Genomic DNA, 15,578 nt, shown 5'->3' on the forward strand with positions numbered 1-15,578 from the left:
TGGAGGGCTTATGAAAAGGGACACTGCTGGGCCCCTCTCCCGAGTGTCCGATTCAGCAGGTTTGGGGTGGGGCTGAAAATCTCATTTCTAGCAAGTTCCCAGGCACGGTTGATGTTGCTAACTCAGGGACCACACTTTGGGAACAACTGGTTTGTCATATCAAAATTAAGCCTCATGGGTCTCAGCCTGCCTAGATGATTTTTAGAAATACAGATGTCCCCCTCTAAGATTTTTGAGTCTGCTGATTTAGGGGTGAAACCTAGAACCATCTATGTATGTTAAAATCTCCCCCAGGTGATTCTAAATACGCTCAGGTGAGAATGCCAGCCTTATCCCGAAACAATCTCAAACTACGCGGCCTAAGATTCCTATAAGTCTCATCTCGGAATCTTTTTTTTTTTTCTTTTTTTTTTTGAGACAGAGTTTCGCTCTGTTGCCAGGCTGGAGTGCAGTGGTGTGATCTCGGCTCACTGCAACCTCCACCTCCCGGGTTCAAGCGATTCTCCTGCCTCAGCCTCCTAAGTAGCTGGGATTACAGGCATGTGCCACCACACCTGGCTAATTTTTGTATTTTTAGTAGAGACGGGGTTTCACCATGTTTGCCAGGACGGTCTCAATCTCCTGACCTCATGATCTGCCCGCCTTGGCCTCCCAAAGTGTTAGGATTACAGGCGTGAGCCACCGCGCCCGGCCTCGGAATCATTTATACAGAGACAGTCAAGAAATGTCATCAGATTTAGCCATTATTCCAGGGGTATGAAGTATTGGATATCACTCTAAACAACCCTTTTAAAGATCGCTTTAAAAAGTAACACAGTACGTGGTTACTTGCTGGAACTCATCAATAATATACACCCACAAAACAAATGAAACAACCAATGTCCTAATTTATGCAAAAGGATATTTGCGGCCTGGGATAAAATTTCCAGTAGCTGCGTCATAGGCAGATTCAAAAAATGTCATGTCTCCAAAGTTCTAGACATGAGGGGAACAGATGGGGCCCACCAAATGCTGTTTGATGACTCAAAGACACCGTGTCAAAGACACAGGCGGCGAGTTGGGAGAACATGATTTTATGAATGTAAGAATGGAACACAAAGAAATGTATCTTAATGTGCTGTGTTACTTATGTCATATGTGACTTTCTTTTTTTTTTTCTTTTTTTGAGACGGAGTCTTGCTCTGTTGCCCAGGCTGGAGTGCAGTGGCATGATCTCAATCTTGGTTCACTGCAACCTCTCCCTCCCGGGTTCAAGTGATCCTCGTGCCTCAGCCTCCCGAGTAGCTGGGATGACAGGCACGCACCACCACGCCCAGCTAATTTTTGTATTTTCAGTAGACATGGGGTTTCGCCATGTTGGCCAGGCTGGTCTCAAACACCTGACCTCAAGCAATCTGCCAGCCTCAGCCTCCGAAAGTGCTGGGATTACAGGCATGAGCCACTGCGCCCAGCTACATGTGACTTTTTAATTCATTGTTTTTTACAGACAGGGTCTGGCTCTGTTGCCCAAGCTGGAGTGCAGTGAAGATCTTAGCTCTGTGAAACCTCAACCTCCTGTGCTCAGGCAACCTTCCCACCTTAGCCTCTCTGGTATCTGAAACCACAGGTGCACACTGTCACTACGCCTGCTTTTTTTTTTTTTTTTTTTTGGTAGAGATAGGAGGCTCCCTATGTTGCCCAATTTTGTACTCCTGGCCTCAAGCGATCCTCCCACCTCAGCCTCCCAAAGTGCTGGGACTACCTGCATGAACCACTGCGCCCAGCCAACATATGACTTTAAATAGGCATAAACAGGCATGTGTAACTCTACCACTAATATAAATGTGCAAGTGAACTTTGGACTATGCATACGCCCCCACCCAAAGTTTATATGTAAGTTTACCAAAAACATTGAGGGAGGTCCCTTCCCATTGGTGAAATGAGGGAGCTGACTAACATTTGGGGATACCTCACAGTTTTGGCAGCACAAAGATAAGCAAGACAGAAGAGGTCTCTGCCTCCAGGAAGCTGACGTTAGAGGGAGAGAGACAGTGAATACAAAATATGATGCTGAGGGCCACAAGGAAAGATGGAGCCGAAGGAAGAGGATGAAGGAGCACCAGGGAGGGGCTGCAACATGGGGACATTTGCAATATTCGGACAGAGACCAGAATAAGGAGAGGAGCTGAGCCTGTGAGTGTCTTGGGGGAGAGAAGACTTGGTAGCAGGAACTGCACGTACGGAGGTTCCGAGGTCAGAACAAGCTTGCAACGTCCAGGAAACGACAAGGAGGCTCGTGAGGCCAGACCACACTGGGAGATGGGGACAGTGGCGGTGGCCAGGTCTCAGAGGGCCTGGGAGGCCGGAGAGGGAGGTGGGTTTTATTTATTCCCATGGATCTGGTGTGGTCCCTTTGGGCTCGGTGGGAGGTAACTGCTCATCATTCTACATCTGGGACCTCTGTCCACAGCTGGGTCCCATGTGCCCCTCCAGCATTCTCAGGGCCTCCAGGAGGGAAGTGTTAATGCTTCCCCTTCTCCGTCTGCCTCTTACCCTTCTGTCTCCACTGATGAGCAGCCAGGGCAGGGAGGGACTGCAGCAGGCCCCAGAGGATGAGGGCGTGTCTTCCCAGTGCCATCTGCACAACGCAACTCAATTCTGGGAATGAGCATTTATTCAGCACCTCTTGGATGCAAGGCACTGACCGCAGCTTGACACCACAGCCAGCCAGGCACTCAACACTGCTTGCTGAGGCCAAAGTGAAGATCCCCCCAACAATCGTCTTGTATTTTTTTCAGCTCAGTTTCCTGAGCCTGCCACACCGAGGGCCCCACAGTCGGAAACCACGTTTGGTTCGAAGCTCTCCTGTTCTCATCTGGAAATTCCTCATCATTTTTGAGCATGGGACCCTGTGTTTCCATTCTGCACCAGGCCCTGCAAATTACCTAGGGGCCTTGGGCGGGGGCTCCATTCTAGATGCACACTCAGGGGCTCTGGCAGCTGGTGGGGACTGGAAATGGGGCCTCCACTCAAGTCCCAGGTGCTGCGGCCTGCAGACCATCCCAGTCTTGGCCAGAGGCCCTGAAAACAGTCAGGGCCCCTCTGCGGCCTGAGGAAGAACCTCTGCACACACCGGCGCTGCTCGCAGCAGACAGCCGTGAGGAGATGTCTGGTTTTGATTAAATGTCCAGAGCCGCTCATTAACTTGCACAGACAGACTCAGAAGCCACTCGCTCTAAAACCCGCCCGCCACGGCAGCCCATCCTGCAGGCCCTTCTGTGCCACCTGCAGTTCCTGCTGGAAACTAGGAGCCCCTGGTTTGGGGGCCATGGGCCCTGAGGCAGGGGGATGGCCAGGGTCATCCAGCCCAGTGGCCTGAGTCCTCCAAAGTGTGTACCTGTCATCATCCACGGTGTGAGGGCTTCCCTGCCCTGCTGTCTCCACTCTGAACTGGGTTCAGGGGCTGTGGTCTTCCTGGTACAATTTCAAAGCATCTAAGAGGGCCTCATTCCCGCAGCACTGTTCCCTGCCTTGGCCTCTGTCTCTGAAATTCCACCATCAGGGCCGGTCCTTTTACTGTACTTTAGGTGAAATTTATAGCTGGAACTGCTTTGCATTTATCATGACAGTGTTTGCAGTGATTTATTTACAAGTCTGTCTCCTCCCCAGGCCACAGCTCTTGAAGGCAAAGTCCATGCCCCATACATTCATTCTTCAAAAATCTGTTCCTGGGCGCCCACCGTGTGCCTGGCATCAGCTGGCACGAGGAATCTCACTGTCTTTTGATCCCTAACACTAGGAACAGGGCCTCCCCTGGCTGGGACCCTCTGCATATTTGCTGAACGAATGAATATGTGAGCAAATGTAGAGTATTGCTCACATTTCTTGAGCACTTACTATAGGTGCCAGGCTCTGTTTTAATCAATTTGTGTGTATTTCCTTGTTCCACTCTCCCAACACCCTTGAGTTGGGTGTTGCTGTTATCCCCATTTTACAGAGGAGACTTTGGCACTCAGTAAGGACACGTAACCAAGAGGGCTAACAAGAAGCATGCACAGATACACAGGCATCCCCGCAAGCCAGAAACCAGCACATTCACAGGCAGGCAGAGCTCAGAGCCAAATTAGTCAAATATCTTGAAATGATGTTTATTTCTCCTCTAGTTCTCGAGTTCTAATGACTGTTTATTCTTACAAACATCTAATTTGTGTGCTCAGCCTCCCAGTTAGAGTGCAGTGCCAAGTGGCTCGGGCGTTTGCTCTTTGGTCGGATATCATACCCCCGCTCCTTGCTTTTCTTTTAAGACTCTTCAGACCCTGGGTATCTTGTTGGCATCTCACAGGTGGGAGGCGCTTTCCTCTACAGCCTCTGGTGCCTCGCCAGGCCAGCTGGAGGCCAAATGGAAGAGTGTGAGGGTTGCCTGCAAAGATGGCTGCCAGCAGTGCTCCCCCTCCCTGCAGGGGCCTGCAACCTCTCCCATGGGAGGTGGAGTCTGTGTCCCCACCCCTTGAAAGTGGGCAGGCTCTGTGAATCCTTTGACCCCCGGGATGCTGTGGAGGTGACTCCCTGCAGTTCTGGATTAAGCCTTAAGAGACCTGGCGACTTCTATTTTCTCTCTCTTGGAATCCAGCTGGCCCGCAAAGTAGCTCAGGCCAGGTTCTAGAAGAGGGAGAGACCGCAGGGACAGAGTGAAGCCTGGGAGATGAGTTACAAGGGGAGAGAGAAGAGTGTACCCAGCTCCAGTGCTAAACAATGTGGGTGATGCCGTGCTGGGCCATCCAGCCCCAGCTGAGCCCCCCAGATAACACACGTGGGGTGGGGACCACCACGATGCCTGATCCTGCCCAAATTGCAGAATTCTGAGCAGATAAGTGGCGGCTGTTGTTTTAAGTGGCTAAGTTTGGGGCTGGTTTGTTAAGCAGTGAAGGCAGCTGGAGTTAGAGTGGCTCCAGAGGTCAGGAAACAGGGGAGAGGCGTGCCTGGCCCCTGCTTCTGCTCCTGCCTTGCTTTGAGGGGCAGGGGGCAGGTGTCAGCCCTACAAATAGCATCTCCCCTCTTCCCTCCTCTTCCCTACCCCCTGGGAGTAACCTGCTTGTTTTCCCAACAGGTGTTAAAATAACGACCTTTGGGCTAAAAAGGAAGCTGTGTGTGTGAGTGATAAGAGGGTCTGGCTGCCTGAACCGCAAGGAGGGAGCGAGGGAAGTGAGGTGGGGACGGAGGTCGTGGGGAGAGTTGGCAATTTGCAGGGAGAAGGCTTTCAGCTGGACTGGGGCGGATCAGGGCCTCTTTCTCCCCATGTCCTACAGAACTCGGCTTCATTCTTTTCTTCACGAGGAAGGTTTGCAGGAAGAAAGGGCCCAAGAGCCACAGCCGTCCCCTGCCTGGGTGCTCACCGTTTGCCTGTGCGGTCCTCCCCTTCACTCGGCCTGGGGTGCTGTCTCCCTGCTGTCCTGGGTTAAATTGTGTGCTCTGCAAAAAGATATGTGGAAATCTTAACTCCCAAACCTTAGAATGTGACCTGATTTGGAAACAGGGTCATGGCAGATGTAATTGGTTAAGATGAGGTCTTGCTAGAGTAGAGCAGGCCCTAAATCCAGTATGACCGGTGCCCTTATAAAAAGAGGACAGAGACACATGGGAAGGTCACGTGATGACGGCGGTGCTGGGAGATGCAGCCACAAGCCAAGGCATGCCAGGGATTGCTGGCTGCTGCGAGAGGCTGGGAGGGGGGCGAGGAAAGAGCCCACCGGAGTTCAGAGGGTGCATGGCCCTGCCCAGAACTTGATCTTGGACTTCTGGCCTCCAGAACGGTGAGGGAATAAAACGTCTGTTTTTTGAAGCCACCCAGTTTGTGACGCCCAGTTACAGCAGCCTAAGGACAGGAATATATCCCTGTTGTGCCCAGGCCTAGTCACTGTGGACTTCAGCAAGTGCTGTTCACTTCACCTTCAAAACAGAGTACTTCCCAAATCTGCCCTTCTCAGGCCAGGTGCGGCGGCTCACGCCTGTAATCCCAGAGCTTTGGGAGGCCGAGGCGGGCAGATCACTTGAGGTTGGGTGTTTGAGACCAGCCTGGGCAACATGGTGAAACCCTGTCTCTACTAAAAATACAAAAATTAGCCGATGTCGTGGCGGGCGCCTGCAATCCCAGCTACTCAGGAGGCTGGGGCAGGAGAATCGCTTGAAACTGGGAGGCAGAGGTTGGAATGAGCCGAAATCGTGCCACTGCACTTCAGTCTGGGCAACACAGCAAGACTCTGTCTCAAAAAAACATGGTGAAACAAAACCAAATCTGCCCTCCTCTACTCTTCCAGGGAACACCCTGGTCAGAGCCCCTGCCCTCCCTTGCCTGGACGGTTGCAGGTGCCCCCGCCGACCCCCACAGTTCTCCCAACTCACTATGCCCCCTCTTCCCCCCAGCAGCCAGAGGGGTCCTTTCAAAACCTACATCAGGCCAGTCCCCATGCTCCTAAAGGTATCCTATCCTGCTCCAATTCCAATAAAACCCCAATTCCTTTGAAGAAGGCCCCCATGACCTGGCCCCTTCCAGCCCCTGTGATCTCTCTCCTACCACCACGTCGCTCTAGCCTACTGCTTCTCAAACACACCAAAAACAGTCCCACCTCAGGGCCTTGGCACGTACGGGTCCCCTGGCCTGGAACCCTCCTCCTCACATCTCCACATGGCTCCAACTGTCTCTTTATTCACGTCTTTGCTCAAATGTCACCCTCAAAGAAACCTTCTCTGATCACCTGTAATGAAATCGCCACACATCACCTTCCTCGCCCACCCCACATCATCTCCCTCTGCCCGCTTTGGAAGATGATCTTGTCCGTGGCAGAGTTGCCTTACAACCCACACCCTTCTCACGGGCTCTCTTTGAAGCAGCTGTTCCATTTCTAGGAAACGATTCTACAGAGGTGCTGGCCTGGGGCGCAGAGGCACGGACAGGCCAGGATGTGCCTGGTAGGGTCACTACTGCAGCAAAAGCCGAAAGCCAAGCTCCGTGTCCATCGCGAAGGCACTGGGCATGTGGCTATGCAGCCGTGACAAAGGATGAAGCCATCCCGTGGCCAGGGCGCAGAGTGACCTCCCAGATCTACGTTTCATGTGGCGTTTCTGCCGTGTATTTTTAAACCCGGGGACAAATGTATGCGTAGTAAAGGTCGTGAGGTCATTTGTCTTTGGTGTCTAGCTTGACAGATTTTGAAAAAATTGACCCTTTTAAAAAGCAAACTTTATTTTTCAGAACAGCTTTAGACTCATAAAAAGATTGTGAAGACCGAACAGTCACCCCATACTCCACGCCCAGTTTACCCTACTGTTAGCATCTGACATTAGTATGATACATTGTTTAGAATTTTGTGGGGGAGGAGACAGTGTCTTGCTCTGTTACCCAAGCTGGAGTGCAGTGGTGCAAACATGGCTCACTGCAGCCTCAACCTCCCAGGCTCAAGCAACACTCCTGCTTCAGCCTCCCAAATAACTGGGACTGCATGTGCACGCCACCATGCCTCGCTAATTCTTTTTGTTGTTGTTAGAGATAGGGTTTCGTTCTGTTGCCTAAAATGGTCTGGAACTCCTGGGCTCAAGGGATCCTCCAGCCTCGCCCTCCCAAAGTGCTGGTATTACAGGCGTGAGTCACTGCCCCGGCCCATTTTTCACAATTAAGGAACCAGTGTGGATACATTAGTATCAACTGACATCTGCCTGTTTCAATCTCACTTCTTCCCCAGGGCCCCAGGTGGCATCTGTCTTTGGCCTTCTCGAGGCTCCTCCGAGCCTCTGGGCTGGATAGTTTCTCAGACTCACCTTGGTTTTGATTTGATGACCTTGACAGTTTCGAGGCAGGTGACCTTGACAGTTTCGAGGCTTGCTGGTCACGGAGCTGCAGGATGCGCCTGCATTGGGATTGGTCTGATGTTTTTCTCATGATGAGACTGGGGTGACGGTTTGAGAGAATTTTTCAAGCCAAGTGGGTGCAGGAGACCCATGAAGGCCCCTCCCGCTGATCTTTTGAGGAATATGTATTTCTATCTGTGCATTTCTGCTTGTGTGTTCCTAAGCTACTCCCTGGAAGGACACACAGACACTGGGAACTGAAGATGCTTCTGGGGCGGGCACGCGGGCCCCTGAAGACAAAGTCGGAGAGATGCATGCTTTGCAATGTGTGCCCCGTTGGTACCGATTGAAAAAGTTATTTAACTACACGTATACGAGACTGAACTGTGTGTGTACATTTTAAAATAAAACAAAACGTGCTTCCTGTTCTGCGGCCTCTGCCCCTCCCCTCGGCAGCCCTGAGGCTTGGCCAGGGTCCAGGAGGAAGGCGCGGGGAACAGGTTGGCCCAGTCAGCTGGCTGGGACTTCAAAGGAAAGCGCCGCTGGGGCCCACCTGGGGCGCAGCGGAGCACCTCCCACAGAGGGAAGGAAATGCCAGCCCTGGGGCGACCTCAGAACATCTGCAGGGACAAGGGTGTGTCAGGCCACCTGGGCAAGCGCTTTACCTCTCTGTGCCTCGGTTTGCTCATCTGGGAATTGGGGATGTTGAGAGCACCTGAGTCCCAGCACTGCTGTGAGGGTGAACGTGATCCTGAACGCCAAGGGCTTGGCTAGGCTTTTCACGCGTGCTCTTCACACCGAGAATACAATCAAGCCCCACACCCACCCCCAGCCCGCAGAGTCCTATGTGAGCAGCCCCTGTCCACTTCTCAGACCCCATCTCTCTCCCCAGCTTCCTCCCGACCCAGGTCCAGCCACACTGGGCTCCGAGCTATTCCCACCCCAGGACCGTTGCACCAGCTGTGCCCACCACGAGAGCATTTCCCCCAGACACCCACGTGGCTTCCTGGCAGGTCCTTCTGGCTGGGTCACAACCCAATCCCCTACTGAACTGGACATTTCACCACCTGCGTTCTTGAACTCTGACGAGGTTTAAGGCAGATATGGGCACAGGCAGATAAGGGGCGTAGGTGCATGGGGGGTGTGTAAGGGCCTGCCTGGGAGGCTAGCCTCAGAGGCTCTGGGAGACGAATTTTCTCTTCTTGAGGGAGCCCCTGGGGGTGGGAAGGTCCCTGGTCCTTCAGTCCTGAAACTCGGTTGTAGAGTGGGTGAGAAGGACAGGGTGGGCAGAGGGATAGGACTGGGGTCCCGGAGGATGGAGGGGAAGACCCCAGACAGGGGGCCCCAAGCTAAATCTAGCAGAGGGGCCCAGACCCTGACAACATAAGGTCACAGCCAGCTACCCAGGGCCCCGCATGGAGTCCCCACTCCCCTCTTACCAGCTCAACCTCTCTACAAACCTCAGTTTCCCTCCTGTGTGCCTGGAACAGCTGTTGCAGGCGCTGTGAGGCAGGGATGGGGGAATTGAGGAAGGTCCTCGAGGCTGGGAAGTTGAGGCTGGCAGCCGAGACAACTGAGGCGTGAGGAGCACAGCTCTGTGCCCAGGCAGCTGCAGGAAAACACCCCGAAGGGCCATTTGCGGGGAGCCCCCAGTCTGTCTAAGTGACAGATGTTATTCCGAGAAGAGCCTCTCTCTACCCAGGATGCTGAGTTCCACAGGATGCCTGCAGCAGGGCTGGCCTGGGAGGTTGTGCAGATTCAGCATTGCACAATTTTGGGGACCCAAGGTTCCAGAGAGGCTTCCTGGAAGGGGGGCTCAGGATGAGCCATTTGGCCCCCCCTTTGTCTCCCTTCCACCTGAAAGCTCAGTTGGAACAATCCCAGCCTCGCAAGGCTGACTTGATGCCGCGAAGCGATGCTGAGTTAGTGCTGCCTTTGCTGAGACTCACAGCTGAGTAAAAAAAAGAAAAAGGAAAAAGGCAGAATTTTTTAAAAGCTGCCATCAGCACAGGGCGCCCAAGCTGCCCCTGCCTCGCCGTGACCTTTGGAGGGATGCACGCACGGCCATAAGCATCACGTGGGGCCACGGTTCGGACTGGCGCCAGCCTCCTGAGTGAATCCCGGCACTGCCACTTCCCGGGTGTGTGGCCCCAGGTAAGTCAGATAACCTCTGTGGTCTCAGTTTCTCTTTGCATAAAATGGGATTAATAACAGAGCTTGCCTCTCCATGGTTCATGTTGGGGCCCCTGCTCTCCAGGCCTGTGGGGTGCATCTGGCTGTGTCTATGTGAGTGCAAATCTGCTAGTGTCTGGGAAGGTGCATGTGAGTTTGGGCACGCCCAGGCCATCCCATCTCCTCTCTTCTGGGCAGGCTGGAAGGCTGCCTGGAGGTGGTGGCAGTAGCCAGTTTTCCTGTGGTTCCCAGGAATATATTGTGTTTGGCTGGGCCAAACAAAGCCAAGGCACTGTCACCTGCCCACGGTGGGGATTAGGGACCTTCCATGATTTCCAATCTATTTGATTCCTGTGGTTTTGATCACATATAGCAAGGGTTTGTGCCCAAAATGCGTACAAATCTGTTTGGTTCTGGGCTTTGGACAGCGAGCTGTGCAAACTGCTCAGCAGGTACCAAGTGCTGTGCAAGTGTTGGCTGTGGTGACCCCCCTGTACCAAGCGCTGTGCAAGTGTTGGCATGGTGACCTCCTTGGGAGGCTGCAGGTTGGGCTGTGCCTGGTGCCCACTGGGTGTTCCCTGATGTCTGGCAGCTCCCACCACACTGGCCCTGGCTGCCGGGCAATCTCCCCTCTGCCTCGCGTACCGGCTGGCTGTCTTTCCCTGGCCCTCTCTCTAGGTGTTTGATGGTTGTAAACTCTTTGCAGAACATTAAAGCAAATGGGAGCAGCCCAAACCCCACCAGGAAAGAGACAGGCCCTCCCAGCACCATCCCAGCGCCATCCCAGCGCCACCCCAGCGCCACCTCAGCACTACCCCAGCGTGGTGCCGCCCACACCGCCCCTGGGGCCTGCCTCTGGGAGGCATGGGGTCTCCTGTGTGTCGCTGAGCTCCAGAACATTCATGTCCAGGCCTGGGGGCCAAGGGCGGGGGGTTCCCAGAGGGTGCATTGGACTCTCCGAGGTGCTGGGGAGGTCCTGTATCCCCTTCCACAGGCAGGTGACAGTGCCACAGCCTTGGCCTGAAACAGCCCAGCTCCAGTGAAATAGGTCCCTGAGAACCATGGGACAACTGGCTGCTGCCTCCTCCTCCAGGCAGTCCTCCAGCATGCCTGATGGAGAAGGAAAGGGTGAGGCAGCCTGGGCGTGCCCAAACTCACACACACCCTTATACACAACTGTTACAATCACATACCCTCATAGACACTTGCAGAATGGTACAAACTCACACAGACACACCCACACACACCCCCTCACATTCACACATATAGGTTCACAATCACACTCCGTTACAGACACACACGCAGAGTGATACACATCTTTGGAAACACACTCCAGGCAGAGACGCACTGTCTCTTACACACACATACAGACACCTTCAGACAGATGCTCACGCATGAGACCAACTCACACCCAGAGACACATGCTCCCCTGAGCACACACAGCCCACACTCACACCCACTCACAGTCACTGAGACAGACTGTCCCGCTGACACCCAGGGTGGGTTGCCAGATCTAGCAAATAAAGACATAAGCCCCTTGGCTGACTCTGACAAATGATTCTTCAGTGTAAGTACATCCCGTGCAGTATCTGGGTGCCCTGCATTTTATCTGCAAGCCCAGCTCAGGGGCACTGGCGCAGATTCACACTCAGACACCCACAGACTCGCTCTGGCAGCCACACAGACATCGCCCTGTGCAGGAACTTAGCACCCAGAAAGCCCTGCCTTCTGACTCCCAGCCCCTCCCCAAGCCCAGGACAGCAACATTCTCTTCACCCGTTCCTGCTTACGAAAATAGCCCATGATGGGCAGAATGGGGCTCCCCGAGACCTGGGCGTGCTCCCAGTGGAAGAGGTATCCCTGAAAGTCGCCTCGCCAGTTGGTTATAAGAGCACCCATTTTCCAGGTAAGAAAACCAAGACTCGGATAATGATGCAGCCTGTCTGAGCCACACAAAGCAAGGCCATGTTCTTTCCCCAGCTTCCGCTATGGAAACCATTTGGGAGAAAGGACCCGGTTGTTTTTGGAGGGCCCCACTGAATAGCCTGGGCTCAGGGTTGGGGCCTCTTTTTATTGATAGGTAAATTTCACAAGAAGAATTGCCTGCAGAGTTCTGAAAGTTATCCAAGCCTCACTCCTGGCAATTCTGATTCAGAGCAAGGCCAAGAAATGTGCGTTTATAAAAACCACACTAGAAGATTCTGATGCATCCTCCTGGTTAAGAGCCACTGTTCTATCCTCAGCAGAAAGCTCTAGCTCAAGGACAGAAAATCCACAGCACACGTATCCACACCCCTTACCCATGCCCATGGCAGACATCACTAATCAATCATGATAATCTTTCTCGTCAAACTCAGGCCCAGCCTCAGAATCCCTCCCAGCTCAGGGCTCCAGGGAGCCAGTAAGTGGAGTGGTTTCTATCCTGGTACTAATCAGCAGATTTACGATTTCATCATTGTGTCCCACTCATGAGCTTCTGGACAATGTTACTTGGCAAGGTCCCTCCCTGCCTTCACTTTTTCCAAAAACCAAACATAGTAACAATATACTAACAGCTAACATTTCCTGCTGGGTTAGTATGCACCAGGCATGGGGCCAAGTGTTTTACATGCACTATTGCATGCAATCTCCCCAGTGCTGCATTGTAGTAAAATCATCATTACCTTGATGTGACAGAGGAGGAAAGTCAGGCATGGGGCAGTCAAAAAACTTGGACCAGGTCACACAGCTAGGGAGTGGTTGAGCAGGGATTTGACCGCACCCTGCAGTGGGATGACCCTCAGTCCTCCTGGCTTTTGACCCATGTCCAAAACCCTCCTGCAGTCCTGCCCTTTGTGGGTCTGTGGGCCCCTTCCCATCTGGGTCCCATATCCCTGACTCACCCACATCCTTGCTGTGTGAGTCCCGGTCCTTTCCGGAGTACCCTTGGAGATCCCTGGCCCCCAAGCACTTGTGACTTTAAGAATGTTCTTGGGCCAGGCATGGTGGCTCATGCCTGTAACCCCAGCACTTTGGGAGGCTGAGGCAGGGGGATTGCTTCAGCCCAGGAGTTTGAGCCCAGCCTGGGCAGCATAGTAAGACCCTCATTGCCTCAGTCTCCCCATTTGTGCAATGGGCGTGAATCAAAGGGGTATGAATGTGGCCAGAACTGCACAGGCACAGAGCAGATGCCTCCAGCGATGCACCAAAAAACTTTTTTTAAAAATTATCTGGACATGGTGGTGCATACTTGTTGTCCTAGCTGCTCAGGAGGCTGAGGCAGGAGGATTGCTTGAGCCCAGAAGTTCCAGGCTACAGTGAGCTATGAGGGTCCACTGGGTGACACTTGTCTGAGGTGACACAGCCCAGGAGGGATGAAGCCAGGGTTTTGCCCAGGACCACCTGCTCAAAAGCCCACGTTCCTTCCACCTGCTGTGGCTGCTCCATTGGGAGCACTCAGGAGGTACAGCTGCGTCCCACATCACCAAACTGTAGCCGCTTCAAACAATGTACATTAACTATCTCACCTTCTTTGGGGGCCAGGAGTCCAGGCATGGCTTTGCTGGGTCCTCTGCTCAGCATCTCACCAGGCTACAACCAAGGTGTGGGTGGAGCTGTGTTCTCATCTGGAGGCCTGACTGGGGAGGGATCTACTTCCACGCTCCCTCACTTCCTCAAGCTAATGGCAGAATTCATTTTCTTGCAGCTGTAGGATTCAGGGCAGCTTGCTTCTTGAAGGCCAGTGGGCAGGGAGGGGATGGGATGGAGAGAAAGAGAGAGAGAGAGAGAGAGCCACCTCCTGTTTCTCACCTCTGAACTCTCAAAGGGCTCCCCTGATTAGGGCAGGCCCACTAGGGATCATCTCCCTTTTGATTAACACAAAGGCAACCAATTAGGGATCTTGCTGCCATATGTAAATTCCCTTCATTTTGCCATATTCTATTGGTTAGCAGCAAGTTACAGGTTTCACTGACATCCAAAGGGAGAACATTACATAAGGGTGGGGGTTATTGGGGGTCATCTTAGAATTCTACCTCTCAAAGGGAGTGAATGTTCTGATCAAGCAATGTTTAACTAGCAATTTGCATTTGGGGTGCTTTTTTTAAAAAAAATTGTCGTAAAATCGACATCACATGAAATTTACCATTTTAACCATTTTTAAGGGTACAGTTCAGTGGCATTAAGGACATTCACGTTATTGTGCAACCACCACTACTGTCCATCTCCAGAAGCTTCTCATCTTCCAGCTGAACTCTGTCCCCATGAAACACTAACTCCTATGCCCCCTCCCCCCAGGCCCTGGCAGCCCCTCTTCTCCTTTCTGTGTCTAGGAATCTGATTGCTCCAAGGTGCCTCGCATAAGTGGGATCACAGGGTCTCTGTCCTTTGTGTCTGGCTTCTTTCACTCGGCACAGTGTCTTCCAGGTGGACCCGTGCTGTGGCCTGTGTCAGAAAGCTCTTCTTTTTTCAGGCCAAACCCTACTCCAATGCATGATTAGCCCAAACCTTGCCTATCCATCATCCATCGGTGAATTTGTTACAGGAAAGGGGTCCTGATCCAGACCCCAAGAGAGGGTTCTTGGATCTCACACAAGAAAGAATTCAGGGCAAGTCCATTGAGTAAAGTGAAAGAAAGTTTATTAAGAAAGTAAAGGAATAGGCTGGGCGCGGTGGCTCACGCCTGTAATCCCAGCACTTTGGGAGGCCAAGGCAGGCAGATCACAAGCTCAGGAGATCGAGACCATCGTGGCTAACACGGTGAAACCCCGTCTCTACCAAAAATACAAAAAATTAGCCGGGCGTGGTGGCGGGCGCCTGTAGTCCCAGCTACTTGGGAGGCTGAGGCAGGAGAATGGCGTGAACCCGGGAGGTGGAGCTTGCAATGAGCCGACATTGCACCACTGCACTCCAGCCTGGGCGACAGAGTGAGACTCCGTCATTAAAAAAAAAAAAAAAAAAAAAAAAAAAAAGAAAGTAAAGGAATAAAAGAATGGCTACTCCACAGACAGAGCAGCCCCGAGAGCTGCTGGAAGCCCATTTTTATGGTTCTTTCTTTCTTTCCTTTTTTTGTTTTTTTTGAGACCGGGTCTCACTCTTGTTGCCCAGGCTGGAGTACAATGGCTCGATCTTGGCTCACTGCAACCTCTGCCTCCTGGGTTCAAGCGATTCTCCTGCCTCAGCCTCCCAAGTAGCTGGGATTACAGGCGCCTGCCACCATGCCTGGCTAGTTTTGTATTTTTAGTAGAGATGGGGTGTCACCATGTTGGTCAGGCTGGTCTTGAACTCCTGATCTCAAGTGATCCACCCGTCTCAGCTTCCCAAAGTGCTGGGATTACAGGTGTGAGCCGCCAAGCCCGGCCTTATGGTTATTTATTGATGGTATGCTAAACAAGGGGTGGATTATTCATGCCTCCCCTTTTTGGCCCATATAGGGTAACTCCCTGAAGTTGAAACTGGCGTTGGTGGGAGTGTAGCAGTGAGGACGACCAGAGGTCACTCTCGTGGCCATCTTGGTTTTGATGGGTTTCCACTGGCTTCTTTACCGCAACCTGTTTTATCAGCAAGGTCTTTATGACCTGTATCTTGCGCTGACCTCCTGTCTCATC

At 52.7% G+C, this 15,578-nt stretch overlaps 1 long non-coding RNA gene across 1 annotated transcript, besides 1 other annotated feature; it reads right to left on the reverse strand.

Moving 5' to 3' along the window:
* Positions 1–4,111: 4,111 nt before the first annotated feature.
* LOC101927436 (uncharacterized) lies at positions 4,112–8,233 on the reverse strand. The gene is made up of 4 exons (XR_242964.4): positions 7,792–8,233; positions 6,603–6,731; positions 5,373–5,448; positions 4,112–4,367 (listed from the first exon to the last, which is right to left on the reverse strand). It is a non-coding gene; the product is annotated as an uncharacterized LOC101927436 (long non-coding RNA).
* Positions 8,561–8,690: an enhancer, noted in NCBI's record as "active region_7294". NCBI's record gives its function as "activates an Ori minimal core promoter by ATAC-STARR-seq in GM12878 lymphoblastoid cells {active_cell/tissue: GM12878}" and the evidence as "EXISTENCE:reporter gene assay evidence [ECO:0000049][PMID:35858748]".

Source organism: Homo sapiens, chromosome 12 (assembly GCF_000001405.40).
Source record: "Homo sapiens chromosome 12, GRCh38.p14 Primary Assembly".
Classification (NCBI taxonomy): Eukaryota; Metazoa; Chordata; class Mammalia; order Primates; family Hominidae; genus Homo; species Homo sapiens.